At 45.9% G+C, this 14,771-nt stretch overlaps 1 protein-coding gene across 10 annotated transcripts in view, besides 1 other annotated feature; it reads left to right on the plus strand.

The window, feature by feature from the left end:
- OGDH (oxoglutarate dehydrogenase) overlaps positions 1–14,771 on the plus strand; it is a 102,440-nt gene that overhangs the window by 33,454 nt on the left and 54,215 nt on the right. For 7 of the 10 annotated variants that reach the window (XM_011515408.3, NM_001439008.1, NM_001439007.1 and 4 more), the window contains 2 exons: positions 5,247–5,438; positions 7,577–7,679. In XM_011515408.3, the coding sequence (XP_011513710.1) occupies positions 5,247–5,438; positions 7,577–7,679 (295 nt within the window). Of the gene's footprint in view, positions 1–5,246; positions 5,439–7,363; positions 7,455–7,576; positions 7,680–14,771 lie in introns of all 10 variants that reach the window. The other 3 variants (NM_001439009.1, NM_001363523.2, NM_001165036.2) reach the window with 1 other exon arrangement.
- Positions 5,360–5,860: an enhancer, noted in NCBI's record as "H3K4me1 hESC enhancer chr7:44685039-44685539 (GRCh37/hg19 assembly coordinates)". NCBI's record gives its function as "activates a minimal SCP1, AML or CMV promoter by ChIP-STARR-seq in naive H9 embryonic stem cells {active_cell/tissue: H9 hESC(naive)}" and the evidence as "EXISTENCE:reporter gene assay evidence [ECO:0000049][PMID:30033119]".

Consider the following 14,771-nt stretch of genomic DNA (forward strand, 5'->3'; position numbering starts at 1 on the left):
TGTGGCTCAGGACCAGAGAGCTGACCTTGACCCTGACCTTGTGATCCCAGGCATCAGTGGCTGGAAATTCCTTTCATTTTATTGTTGAGCCCAGAAGCGCCCAGCTCTCTTTGGCAAGGTTAAGCTAGGGTAAGAGGCACTGTTACTAGAGTGACCAGAGTTCTTTAAGCGTCGCTCTGCTATTACTCAGTTAACCTTATTAATACCCTGCCTGGTGACTGCTGTGTGTAAATTCTGCCTGAGCCCACATCTCTCCAGTGGGAATATGATTGACATTCCAGGTGCTCTAAGTAAGTTGGAAAAGCCCACAGAGAGCCTCAGTAAAAGTTAGCTATACCTATCCCTGCTGCTATTGGTGGGTTTTTTTTGTTTTGTTTTGTTTTACTATTTTAATTGTTATTCAAAGCTAATTTTATTGAAAAGAAGTAAACTTGTGATTTTGCTATGACTTTTGGCTCTGGATCCAAAAGTGAATATTGTCCCCTAGGATAAAGGAGGCTGTCTGTACAGCTGGAGAGACTCTTGATCTAAGGTCTTGCTCTTGGGTGACTTTGCCCTGTGTTTCTGGACACTTAATGGGTTTTACGAAATAGAAGAAAATGTTTTAGGGGTTTAATAAAGTTTGGGTTGTGCTGTTCTCCAGTACTTACTGGGTTTGAGGGTCATGCCCTATCCATGAACCTGTTGTGGCCCCAGGGAACTAAGTAAGTGTCTACAGCTAGACTTGGGGTGCGGGTCACATGGTGTGAGGGTAGACATTCTAGCACTGGAGCAAGTTTGGGGTAAAGAAAAATTTTGATTAGGTTTTTTGTGGGTTTTTTTTTTTTTCTTTGAGACAGAGTCTCGCTCTGTCGCCAAACTGGAGTGCAATGGCATGATCTCAGCTCACTGCAACCTCCGACTCCCTGGTTCAAGTGATTGTCCTGCCTCAGCCTCCTGAGTAGCTGGGATTATAGGCACACACCACCACCCCCAGCTAATTTTTGTATTTTTTTTTTTTTTAGTAGAGACAGGGTTTCACCATGTTAGCCAGGATGGTCTCGATCTCCTAACCTCGTGATCCGCCCGCTTCAGCCTCCCAAAGTGCTGGGATTACAAGCATGAGCCACCAAGCCCAGCCTTTTTCTTCTTTTTTTTTTTTTTTCTTTTTTTTTTTTTTTTTGGAAACAGGGTGTCACTCTGTCGCCCAGGCTGGAATACAATGGTGCGATCTCAGCTCACTGCAACCTCTGCCTCCCAGGTTCAAGCGATTCTCATGCCCCAGCCTCCCAAGTAGCTGGGACTACAGGCCTGCACCACCACACCCAGCTAATTTTTGTATTTTTAGTAGAGACGGGGTTTCACTATGTTGGCCAGGCTGGTCTCGAACTCCTGATCTCAGGTGACCCACCCACCTTGGCCTCCCAAAGTGCTGGGATTACAGGCATGAGCCACTGCGCCTGGCCTGATTAGGTTTTACGTGACAGTGGTAGCTTGCTGTTGGTTCTTGCTGTGCAGGGGTGGGATACAGCCAGACTGACTCCTGCTCAGTTTCCTGCTGTATTCAAGGGGTTTCTCCTTTTAGGTCAGGTCCTCAGTTATTGGAGGCCTGGGTAGAGGCCAAGAAGTGCAGTCATTGGTCATCCCTGCTTTCACAATGAAGATGGATGTCCAATGCATGTGGTCCCCAGTCATCTCTGCTTCTAGAATGTATGGAGCTCTCAGTCCTGCTGGAAAAGCTCCATGAAGTCAGAAGTACCTGAGGGTGTCCAGTGTATTTGTGCACAGCCACCTTTTAGATCCCTGTGTCCTTGACAGAACCAGTCATGGACTGAGTGGGAGGCAGCCTTTACTTTGCCTAGGGAGTTGATGCTGAGACATCCTCTGTTTTCTCTCCTAAGAGTAAGTCAGTTTTTTCCTCTGGTGGAAATACTGCCTTTTCTCATGTTGGAGGAGAACACTGAGTTTTCATGAGAACCGATTTAATGGAGGAAGGTGAGAATCTCTTTGGAGATTCCAAACCCTGGGTTTCTTTAGCAAACATTTTGATAGCATCTGTTGAAAAGGAAAGTTTAGGCCCAGATGGTGGCTCATGCCTATAATCCTTGCACTTTGGGAGGCTGAGACGGGCAGATCAGTTGAGCTCAGAAGTTCAAGAACAACTTGGGCAACATGGTGAAACCTCATCTCCACAAAAAAATATTTAGTAAAAAAATTAGCCATGCGTGGTGGTGCGTGCCTGTGGTCCCAGCTACTCAGGAGGCTGAAGCAGGAGAATCACTTGAGCCCCGGAGGTGGGGGTTACATTGAGCCAAGATCGTGCCAGTCTACTCCAGCCTGGGCAGCAGAGCCAGACCCTGTCTCAAAAAATAAAAAAGAAAGAAAAGGAAAGTTTGCAGCCTTTTTTCATGTTCCTGATTGTTGGGTTACATTTGTATAAGATGCTTCTGTAATAGGTTTTGTGGGAGGTGCCAGAAGAGAACCCCAAATCTGTCTTCTACATCAGACAATACACCAGAAATTAACCAGAAAGGTAAAAACCGTAAAACCTCAAATAGTTTGATTTGTAAAAACATTTTAAAGGCCAGGTGCAGTGGCTTACGCATGTAATCCCAGCACTTTGGGAGGCCAAGGCGGGTGGATCACAAGGTCAGGAGTTCGAGACCAGCCTGGCCAACACAGTGAAACCCTGTCTCTACTAAAAATACAAAAATTAGCTGGGCATGGTGGCAGGCGCCTGTAATCCCAGCTACTCGGGAGGCTGAGGCAGGAGAATCGCTTGAACCCAGGAGGCAGAGGTTGCAATGAGCCGAGATTGCACTACTGCACTCCAGCCTGGGCAACAGAGCTAGACTCTGTCTCAAAAAAAAAAAAAATTTTTAAATATAATTCACATAACATAAATGTAATTATTTGGCCTGGTCCTGGTGACTCACAACTGGATTCCCATCACTTTGGGAGACTGAGGCAGGAGGATTGCTTGAGGCTGGGAGTTTGAGACCAGTTTGGGCAACAGAGCAAGACCCTGTTTCTTTAAAAAAAAAAAAAAAAAAAAAAAGTCATTTTTTAAGTGTACCATTCAGTGGAGTTTTGTTTTTAACAGATGGGTTCTTGCTGTATTGCCCAGGCCAGCCTTGAATTCCTAGGCTTAAGTGATCCTCCTGCCTCTGCTTCCCAAGTGACTGGGACTACAGGCACATGCTACTACACCCAGCTACAGTGGTTTTTAGTATGTTCACAATACTGTGCAGTCACATCTCTGGTGGTTGTTTTCTTTAAGTTATTTTTTCTGAATACCAAAAAATACATGCTTATTATAGAATGTTTTAAATATTCTACAAAAAAGAAAAAGGGAAGGAAAAAAAAAGTATTCCACAAAACTCCCCTCAAAAACAGATTTCACTGAGAGATCAGACTCCCCTGCATGAGGCAGATGGTCCAGGCCTGTGCATTATCATTGTGTCTTTTCTAGTTTGTGTCTAGCAGCAGTATATAGCAGTGCTCTTGGTAGTGGGACCATCTGAGTGACGTACATCTGTGCCCTAGCCAGCATTATAAAAGAACCTGTCTGAAAAAAACAGAAGACCTTAAGGACCAGCATACTGGATTCTGTAGCCATCTCTACCTTCTGGTCTCCAGACTCAGACAGACCCATTTGATATCCAGCCATGTCCCAGACAAGGAGCACATCTGGGTGGCATCTTGTTAGAAGGAGAATGCAAAGATCTCATAAAGTTTTGCCTTGCCTCTCCAAGTTTTTCAAGACAGTCTTATCAGAGTTTATTGATGGAAGAATTTTAGAGGCTGGAAAAGGTATTGCAGAAAAGAAAAACAATGTTTCTATTTTTTTTTTAAACTGATGTTTTGCCAGGCGCGATGGCTTACGCCTGTAATCCCAACACTTTGGGAGGCCAAAGCAAGTGGATCACTTGAGGTCAAGAGTTTGAGACCAGCCTGGCCAACATGATAAAACCCCATCTCTACTAAAAATACAAAAATTATAAGCCTGGTGGCGTGCTCCTGTAATCCCCGCTGCTCAGGAGGCTGAGGCAGGAGAATCACTTGAACCCGGGAGGTGGAGGTTGCAGTGAGCCAAGATCATGCCACCACACTGCCTGGGCAACAGAGCGAGACTTCATCTCAAAAAAATTAAAATAAACTGATGTTTAATTGTGCTTTTCTTTTCTTTTTACAATGAACTTTTGTGAAGTCTTAGTATGTCTGATCTCTTAAATATTTTAAAAACTTGCATCTTTGTATGAGATGAATAAACCATTACAGTTCACAGTATCTGCAAATTGTAAATCAAATAATTCAGACATGGAATAGCCAAAAATAGTAGGAATATAAGTAAATTAGTTTATAGTTTTTCTAAGGAAATTCAAACTGATAACTAACACCTGACTTTGTGAAGTATTAGACTGTGTGCTAATGCCTTTAACTAGGGTAGTCTTTACAGCATACCTATGAAGAATGTATATATTTCTCTCCTCATAGATGAGAAAACAGCACAGAAAGGTAACTCACTAAGAGCCTACCTCTTGAATTTGAATTTTGATCCCTGACACAGAGATCAGATTTGAATTTCCATCTCTGACCCCACACTTTGAGCTCTTAGCTCCTGAGTTTCTCCTGAGGTAGCAATGATATTATTTCTCTGTGGGGTTAGTGCTGCCTCTTACAAAGGATCAGGTTCCACTTTGTTCCCAGGGAAGTGAAAGGACATGAGCAAGGTGACCCTGGGCTCTTCACAGGTTGTGCTGAGCCCTTGGGGCCTTGAGGGAGGTGTTTGATGGGGTGTTTGATCCCACAGAAAAACTGGTAGAGTTTGCAGACCTATAGACAGAAGGTCAAGAGATCACCTCCCAGGTGCTGGGGCCGGGGGGAAGGCTGAGACAGTAAGTGTCTCTGTTGACCTACATCCTGAATCTGTCCCCAGGCCCAGTGAATAGGAACTGAGGAGAGCTGTTGGCATTGGGCCTTTGGGTTATGTGTGTTGATGGAAGGCGGCCACAGGGCATCTGTGTTATAGCTGTGGGGGTCAGAAAGTGCATCCCGAAGACAAAAGTTGTGGAAAGCAGGGAGCCTGAATGCTGAGAGAAACCCACCGTTTGGGAACAGACAGAGACCCCACTGTCCAGGAGGAAGCAGGCTCAGCCAGCCTATGGTAGACTTGCCTTGCCTGCAGAGAGCAGTTCTCTGTGGCCACAGATGCATCCTGGACTTAGGGGAGCAGTGAGGTAACCCTGTACCTTCTTTGTCTTTAGTCATGGGACATTTTTTTTCGCAACACGAATGCCGGAGCCCCACCGGGCACTGCCTACCAGAGTCCCCTTCCCCTGAGCCGAGGCTCCCTGGCTGCTGTGGCCCATGCACAGTCCCTGGTAGAAGCACAGCCCAACGTGGACAAGCTCGTGGAGGACCACCTGGCAGTGCAGTCGCTCATCAGGGCATATCAGGTAAGGCGGGTGCTTTACCCGCACACGGGAAAGGGTGCAGTGTTCCTTAGGTCATGCCTCATGGGCCCTATTGGCCTTTCTGAGTGTATGTTGTCACTTTACTTATACCTCCTCAAATACTAGGTGCTTTCTCCCTGCTTTGGGAGGCTAAAAAACAAATACACAAGAAAAAGAACCAGGCTAGCCCTATTTGAGCAAATCTCCCAGCACCACTAATGCCTGCCTTATAAAAGGGATCCTTATTTCCTTTCCTTCCTTGGCAAGAAATATTTGTGGGCAGGGAAAACAAGTCAGTACCCGGGCATCAAGGAGAAGTGCTGCCCATCTGCCAGTGAGCAGTGACTGGGAGGGGTGGTGCTTTTGGGTGGTTGATGCCCCCTTCTCAGTTGCTAACAACTGAATACTATAAGAGAAGAAAACCATACTATAGAGTTTGGGGATGTGGAGGCAGGGAGAGGCAGCTGAGGGTACAGCTGAGCCTACAGAGAGTGATGAGGGGCAGGGGAACTCTCCAAAAGTATTGCAGTTAGTGGCCAGTCTCGTTAGGCAAGTGTTGAGCAGGACAAGGTTTTTCCCCCCATCCTTTCCCAGAGCACAATAACCAAAGTTTTTCTAGGATGTCCACCTGATACATGGGGAGAGCCTAGAGTTCAGATCTTAAGACTTCATCTGTGATAGTTCTAAGGACGACAGGTAGAGACAAGTGAGCCTGGTGCTTCCCTTCTGGAAGCTCCCATGGGCATCCAGGACCCTGCCACCTGTTCTTGTGTAACTGCTTTGGTGGCAACAAGGGGACTCATGTCCCTGGGCTGTCTTTTCTCTCATGCTTTGGTTTCTGGTGGCATGGGCCATGGGCAGGTGTTGTAATGGGGCAACATAGGGGAGGTCCTGGGTCTCTGGCCCTTCATGCCATGGCCTGGCAAGTAAGGCTCTCTCCCTGGGGCAAGTGTATTCTGCCTTAGAAAGGAGATGCATGGAGTTTTGTAAATGCTATATGCTTTAAAGTGTTATCCATGTGGATATTTGCATAAGGAGGAAGCCCAGTGGTGTTTCTTTATCACTGCCTGCACGCAGTTGGCCTCAGTAACAACTTCAGCCTGATCTTGCAGTGACTTACCAGCAGCTGCTCCCTTCTCAAATTGCTAGCAAGAAGTTGTGAAAGAATCTTAAATTGGAAGGGATTTTCTTTCTCCTTTTGGTTTTTAAATAGTTCAAATCAGATGCTTTAAGTCTGTGGTGTAGCAGGGTTTTTTTGTTCTGACTACTGTGTGCTGACCTACTCAGCAGCAGCAGGACCAGAGCCCTCACTCCTCACGGGGATATATAATAAAGGCAAACCTTCTCTTAGTGAGATGACCTCTTATCTGCACTCCTCCCCAGTTAAGGCCAACACTTAAGCCTTCATTTTCCTACTTAGAAAAATTTTTCTTTAAATTTGATTTATTTTAAATTGAGGTGGGATCTCACTGTGTTGCCCAGGTTGGCCTCAAACTCCTAGGCTCAAGAGATCCTCCTACCTCAGCCTCCCAAGTAGCTGGAACTACAGGCATGTGCCACTGTACCCAGCACCTTAGGGAAATGTTTATGTTCTGAGCTGAGGCAGGCTTCACATTGGAGTAAGAATTGCCCAGCATATCTCATTTCTGTTTATCCATGGAAACTGTATAAAGATCACAAGAAATGGATCCTTTCAGACTCCTAAGTTTATCATAACCTGAGTTTATCTCTTTTTTATAAAAGTACATTTATGCACAATAGTGCTTTTAAAATAAGTTATTCCAAGACTTTTAAAAACTAATTTTGTCGTATGGGTTTATTGGTGCTGTGTTCCTCTTTGGAAAAGGTTTGCATAACCTGTGACTCTTTTAACCCTCCCCACAGCTCACTGGATCTGCTTAATGACTTGCTTGTGTTATTGCTTCCAGGTCAGGGGTCACCACATTGCAAAACTTGATCCTCTCGGAATTAGTTGTGTAAATTTTGATGATGCTCCAGTAACTGTTTCTTCAAACGTGGGTGAGAATTAAGCTGTAAATGCTAATTTTAATGTAATTTTACTTTTTTTTTACCCCTTCCCTCTTTTTTTTTCTTCTGTCCTTTTGTGTGTGTCCTTCCCTCTCATCGTTGGCCACTCATAGATACGAGGGCACCATGTAGCACAGCTGGACCCCCTGGGGATTTTGGATGCTGATCTGGACTCCTCCGTGCCCGCTGACATTATCTCATCCACAGACAAACTTGGTGAGGGTCTGAGAGCAGTCAGCTGCGTTGCTTGAGCTCCTCTCGCTGTGCCACGACCTGTGGTAGCCAGGATGTCCAGGCAGGAGGGAAAGGCTCTTAAGTTTCCTTTCATTCTGATCACTTGAAATTTATCGGTATTGTAGCCTTAGTGTGTTTTGGGCAAGTTATTTTTATCTTACTTTTTCAGCCAGATTGTCTTAAGTCTCAAAATTTGAAAATAAAATTTTGGACAGAAAGGTTTGTGGCACAGGGAAAAAGCTTGTCCACCTGGGGCAGGTGGATCAGAAGCACTTCAGAGTATAGCTCTTTTGGCTTCAGGTTTTCAAATGTCAGTGCAGCACTGCCTTCAGTGAGGCATGTCCATGAGGCCTTGCTCAGGAACTGCTGACACAGCCATCCTTTTCTGAAGCCCAGTGTGGCCTGCCCTTGACTGGAGGCCATGTCCCTTAGGGGACGAATTCTAGAGCAAGTTGTGCAGTTGGGTCTCCTGATTTGTAATTGCTGGTGATCACACTGAGGAAACTTTGGAAGGCATTCCCACAGCGTCAGGAGGTCAGGGCCTTTGGGAGGTGCATGTATGGAGCACACTGGGGTTTTGTCACGGTTGCCAGAAGATAGTCCCACCTACACCCCCTCCTCCTCATGAAGTGAGGTGGGTGTTGTGGCTGGGCTCTCACCTGCAGTTGCTTTGCAGAGTTAGTCTGCTTTATGTCACTGTGCTGCTAACCTGTACTAAAGAAATGATGATGTGACTAATTTTTAAATGGCCAGGGTGTTCACAATAGACACTGTGCATGCTGATGAAATTGATGATCACTTACTTGCCTAATACTCCTCTTGGGATGGGTACGAAATTAGCCTCCTCACAGGCACTTTTGGGGAATGGTACAGACAGTCTCTAAGGCTCTGCAGTGCCTGGATATCTTTATAGGCATTACTAAGTTATGTCTAGGGGATGAGGCATTAATCATCAAACATCATTGACTTTGGAATTGGCATTGATGGTTTGTAATTGTTTTTTTAATACCAGCCCTTTAGCGGATTTAGGAAGGGAGTTTAGAGAAATCCTCTTGAATTTTATTGATTAAGGCCAGTTCAGATGGTAGACTGGGCATGAGTTGAACCCTGCTTTTTCATTCCGTGGTGACAACTTTGTGCTCCCAAGAAGAGGGCCTCTCTTTGCAGTGTCCCCGGAGGTCTTGGAGCCTCTTCCCTACTGCTCACCCCTTAGTACAGCAAACCTCCCTGCTGGCACCCCCAGTCCCATCACAGCCTGTCTGCCCTGTGCCTCTCCAGCCCCCAGAGACTTCTAGACCTGTGGGATCCTCTTCAGGTGCTCAGAGCAGGCCAAACTCCCCAGCTGGTAGACTTGCTGCTCCCTGATGAAGAGCACAGGGACTTGCATCTGGAAGCCACCTCTTCAGAGGAAAACCTCCCTCTGCATTTAGGCAGGGTAGGAGAGCTGCGGAATGCTCATTTTCTGTTGTTTTTTTTTTTTTTTTTTTTTTGAGATGGGGTCTTGCTCTGTCACCCAGGCTGGAGTGCAGCAGCATAATCTCGGCTCACTGCAACCTCTGCCTCCCAGGTTCAAGCAGTTCTCCTGCCTCAGCCTCCTGAGTAGCTGGGACTACAGGAGCGCACCACCACACCCAGCTAATTTTTGTATTTTTAGTAGAAACGGGGTTTCACCATGTCGCCCACCTCAGCCTCCCAAAGTGCTGAGATTACTGGTGTGAGCCACCGCGCCTGGCTGGAATGCTCATTTTTTACAAGCAGCAAAACATTCGAACAGGAGAGGAGCAGATGAAGTGACTGACTTCTCCCTCTCCTTCCAGAACCTGCATTGTCCCAGCTCTTTGTCCCAACTGTGCACGTTAGTATAACCAGGGGAGCTCTAAAGCTCTCCTCTCTTCCCCTTCAGACTAATATCAAGAGGGGCCACACCTAGGTAAACCCAACCCAGCATAGTCTTTTAAGGGTGAGAAACCCTAAGCACTGTCAACATACGCACTAATTTCCCATCTCATTAGTGGCCGAGGCAGGGCCAGAATCTGGGAATCTCTTCCCAGGCCATCACAAGGTCTTACCATATATTTCACTCTGGAATAGTGTCCTCAGTATTTCTGTGAGGTTTGTGGTTCCAGATTCAGCAACAACATCATGGTGAGGGTGAGAGGACAAGAGGACTTTATAAACCAAGAAACTAAAACATACAGAAGTGGCCCTAAAGCTTCCTGAAATCCTTTGAGGAGGAAAACTTCTGACATCTCTGGCCAGGAGCCCTTTGGAACCACTGAGAGAGAGAGTCAGGGAGTAGTCTCCACGTTTCAAGAGGAAGGTGCATTTTAATCCTGTGGATTTGAAATAGTGTGACCTAAAAATCCCACTAGTCTTCAGGTACAAAAAATGGAAACCGCGTAAACTTGTTAAAACATTTGTATCTGTAGGAAAATTGGTCTCGAACTCTCACCCTTGATGTATGCAGGTCTTCAAGAAAACAGCAGGTCAGATGTGACCGCTAGACAGTTTGTAGAACACTTCAAGACCCGTCGTCTCATTTGAACCTCAGAGAGCCGGGACTCTGGAGCCACACTCCCTGCATTGGAATCCCAGCCCACTATTACTAGCTGTGTGACCTTGGGCTAGTTGCTTAACCTCTCTGTGCCTCATCACCTCATCTGTAAGGCAGGGGTGATGGTACCTACCTCCTCAGGTGGTTTCAAAATTGAATAAACTCCTTAAAGTAGTGCCTTGACCTTAACTATGCTCCAAGTGGGCTTACTAGCAATCTTTTGAGATGAGTAGCTGCCAAACTCTCTGATAATAAGATAAATTCAGAAACTGAGAGGTCAAGCAAAAAGACCAGGAACACACAGGAGTTAGTGGTGAAGACTGCCCTGTAGCCAAATTATAAGGAAGCAGCGTAGCATCTAGTGCAGGAGTTTGCAAACTAAGAAGTGAGGACTCTGTATGGGGGATGTTTGGGGCCCAGGAGAACTGTTTGCCAGCTTAGGAATGAGGCAGTAGAAGGGGATAGGCTGAATGGCAACCTGGTGACCTGACCAGTGTGTAGACGGGTCAGGGACTGTTGTGTAGTGGTGTACTGTGTCACATGACTATTTCCCCAGAGCTAGGATTCTTGCCATGCCTCCGCTTAGCCGCCCTTCCCACCTCCCTGTGGATGCAGGCACAGTTTCTCCCTCTCCTTGGGGAAACAGGCTCACAGCAGTGATCATACCCATGTTGGAACATAGCCTTTGGTGCTTCCGTCAGAGCTTGTTCTGTCTTTTGTTGGAAAAGCTCCAGGTAGGGGGCAGTGATGGAGGGCAGGAGCCGTTGGCAAAGCCATTCATTCTCAAAGGGCACTGATGATGCTGCCCTGAAAACAGTCTGCCAGCTGAGCACCTGGGTGGTTGGCCAGTTTGGTCTGCAGTGCAAGCAGGGAATTCTGTCCACTCTGAGTTTTTTAATAAAGTGGAATATATGCTATAGTTTCCACTGAGTTGACCTTTTATGACCATTTTTGAAAAGTTTGGGAAATCCTGGCTTAGGGCACCTGTCTTCACTTCTCAGAAATTCTCCTGGTCCCTGAAGTAATAAGGAAAGATAATTAACAAGTAGACTCTTACCAGTTAGGAGAGACTGTACAGACACAGAACTCCACAGTAGCGCCAGAGTGTCAGGATTTACCATCAGATGTTATGGACACACTCTTGCCCTCAGTTTTATCTTTCAAGTGTAGCATGACAGAACTTGTTATGAATACAGTAAAAAATATTGTTGAGATGGTAGGGCCAGTGGTTTATTATTATTATTATTTGAGATGGAATTTTGCTCTTTTGCCCAGGCTGGAGTGCAATGGCACCATCTCGGCTCACTGCACTCTCCGCCTCCCGGGTTCAAGTGATTCTCCTGCCTCAACCTCCTGAGTAGCTGGGATTACAGGCACCCATCATCATGTCCAGCTAATTTTTGTATTTTTAGTAGGGACCATGTTTCACCATGTTGCCAGGCTGATCTCGTACGCCTGACCTCAGGTGATCCACCTGCCTTGGCCTCCCAAAGTGCTGGGATTACAGGCATGAGCCACCACACCCAGCCTAATTAAATTTCTAAAATTTAAGTAGAGACAGGGTTTCACCACGTTGCCCAGGCTGTTCTCAAACTCCTCTGAGCTCAAGCACTCCACCTGCCTCCGCCTCCCAAAGTGCTGGGATTACAGGAGTGAGCCACCGTGCCCAGCCTAGTGATTATTTTCATTAACAATTTTTAAAATTAATTTTAGAACAGTTTCTCAATTATGTGTGAATTATGTTCCGTAATTGTGCCAGGTGATGGCTGGAACAGAGATAAGTTTTTTTTTTTTGAGATGGAGTTTCGCTCTTGTTGCCCAGGCTGGAGTGCAATGGCACGACCTCATTTCACTGCAATCTCCGCCTCCCGGGTTCAAGCAATTCTCCTGCCTCAGCCTCCCAAGTAGCTGGGATTACAGGCACCCACCACCATGCCCAGCTAATTTTTTGTATTTTTAGTAGAGACCGGGTTTCACCATATTGGCCAGGCTGGTCTTGAACTCCTGACCTCAGGTGATGCCCTCGCCTCAGCCTCCCAAAGTGCTGGGATTACATGTGTGAGCTACCGCACCTGGCCAGAGATAACTTTTTAATGAAGTGTTAAAGTTAGGGGCCAGTTTCCAGGTAAATCTCCAGATGCCCATCTTAATTTGTGCCAGGCTATACTATAAACCTCATTTCCCTGGGGAAAGAGGGTTGAGAGTTCCAACATGAGATACTTTATTTTTTTATTTTATTTTATTTTTAAAATAGAGACAGGGTCTTATTATGTTGCCCAGGCTCGTCTCAGACTCCTGGGCTCAAGCAACCCTCCTGCCTTGGCCTTTCAGAGTGCTAGAATTACAGCAGTGAGCCACCGCGCCCAGCTGACATGTATTAAATACACATTTCTCTTCACTCACATTCCATAGTGAGGTTCCTTGACAGCAAATTTGCAGATCTGGAGAATGAGGCACCAACCTCATGTTATAATATCCCTGAATGGATCCAGTCAGAGTGGGAGGTAGTGGCAGCCCAACGTCTTCTGGTAGGAGGGCTCCTAGGGAGTCTTTTTCCACTGGCTCTTGAAGAAGGGTCATCAGTTGGGGTACCACGGTAGATATGGGTGTATATTGCAAAACACTAGAACCAGAGTATTATCAATGGAAAGGTCTAGACAGTGAGGCCCACTCATTTGCCTAATTAGAAACAGTTAGAAACTCCTGCTTAATTAGAAATTCTTGCCCTCAGTTTTTTCTTGCTGTTGTTTGGTTTTTTTTAATTATTATTTTTGTTTTTTGAGACAGAGTCTTACTCTGTCGCCCAGGCTGGAGTGCAGTGGTGCAATGTCAGCTCACTGCAACCTCCACCTCCAGGTTCAAGTGATTCTCGTGCCTCAGCCTCTCAAGTAGCCAGGATTACAGATGTGCACCACCATGCCCGGCTAATTTTTGTATTTTTAGTAGAGAAGGGGTTTCACTGTGTTGGTCAGGCTGGCCTTGAACTCCTGGCCTCAAGTGAGTCGCCCGTCTCGGACTCCCAAAGTGTTGGGATTACAGAGGTGAGCCACTGCGCCTGGCCCAATTTTATCTTTCAAGTGTAGCATTCGAATTAGTTTCCCACTTAAAAATGCCACTGTCTGTGGTTTCGGTATAAATTCTGAGTATAACTTTTCACAGTGACAAAAATGATTGAGATGTACTTTACTGGGTTTTTTGTTGTTGTTTTGTTTTTTGAGACAGTCTCTTTCTGTAGCCCAGGCTGGAATGCAGTGGCACGATCTCGACTCACTGCAACCTCTCCTTCCAGATTCAACCAATTCTCCTGCCTTAGCCTCCTGAGTAGCTGAGACTACAGGCATGCGCCACCACACCAGGCTAATTTTTGTATTTTTAGTAGAGACAGGGTTTTACCATGTTGGCCAGGCTGGTCTCGAACTCCTGACCTCATGTAATCCACCTGCCTAGGCCTCACAAAGTGCTGGGATTACAGGCGTGAGCCACTGTGCCTGGCCTAATTAAATTTGTTTTTTTTTATTTTTATTTTATTTTATTTTTTTTTGAGACGGAGTCTCGCTCTGTTGCCCAGGCTGGAGTGCAGTGGCAGGATCTCAGCTCACTGCAACCTCTGCCTCCCAGGTTCAAGCAATCCTCCTGCTTCAGCCTCCCACATAACTGGGATTACAAGCATGTGCCACTATGCCTGGTTAATTTTTGTATTTTTAGTAGAGACGGTGTTTCACCATGTTGTCCAGCCTGGTCTCAAACTCCTGAGCTCAAGTGATCCACCTGCTTTGGTCTCCCAAAGTGCTGGGATTATAGGCATGAGCCACCACGCTCCGTGAGATGTACTTTAATGTGAGATTTAAACATAATTAAAAGAGAATTAAAAACCAATTGTATAAATAAATGGGAAGAAAGTGTGAAACTTCTCTCCCATTTACCATTGATGTTTACAAATTGCTAATACCATTTTAGGAAATGAACGTGAGTTAAATAGTTAAAAAGTCAATTTAAAAGTTGAAAAATGTGGCAAAATGTCAACTACTTAGTTCTTGCCTTTCTCTGACAACCTGCTGTCATTAACAGCACAGCGAGTCATGACAAAGTTTCCACATATCCTCCTGACCTTCCAGGGCTCTCCGGTTTGTTCCTTTGATGGCTGAGAAAAATAAGCTAAAAATAGAGTTGACGTTTAATTAGCTTTTGTAATTTCAGAGTGATATAGAGCAGTTCATTTAGTAAGCATTGATTGCTATGTGCAGCGTGCTGTGTGCCACAGATAACCGAGGAGCTGGAGACGAGGTTTCCTAAGTGACTCGGGAGGGCGGGGCCAAGCTAAGAACATAACCAGGGTGGTTGAAGCCATGGGCGATATGGTCACCCTCAAGGAGAATGAAGCTGGCCAAGCAGACATCTGACATTTGAGAAGATTCTTTGACTGGAGATACCCAGAAACTGGTAAACCGAGTCCCCTAGTTCCCAGCGTCACATTCCTGCTTCTGTGCTTCACTTGGAAGTACTGTGGCCAAATCTCCATC

Source organism: Homo sapiens, chromosome 7 (assembly GCF_000001405.40).
Source record: "Homo sapiens chromosome 7, GRCh38.p14 Primary Assembly".
NCBI lineage: Eukaryota > Metazoa > Chordata > Mammalia > Primates > Hominidae > Homo > Homo sapiens.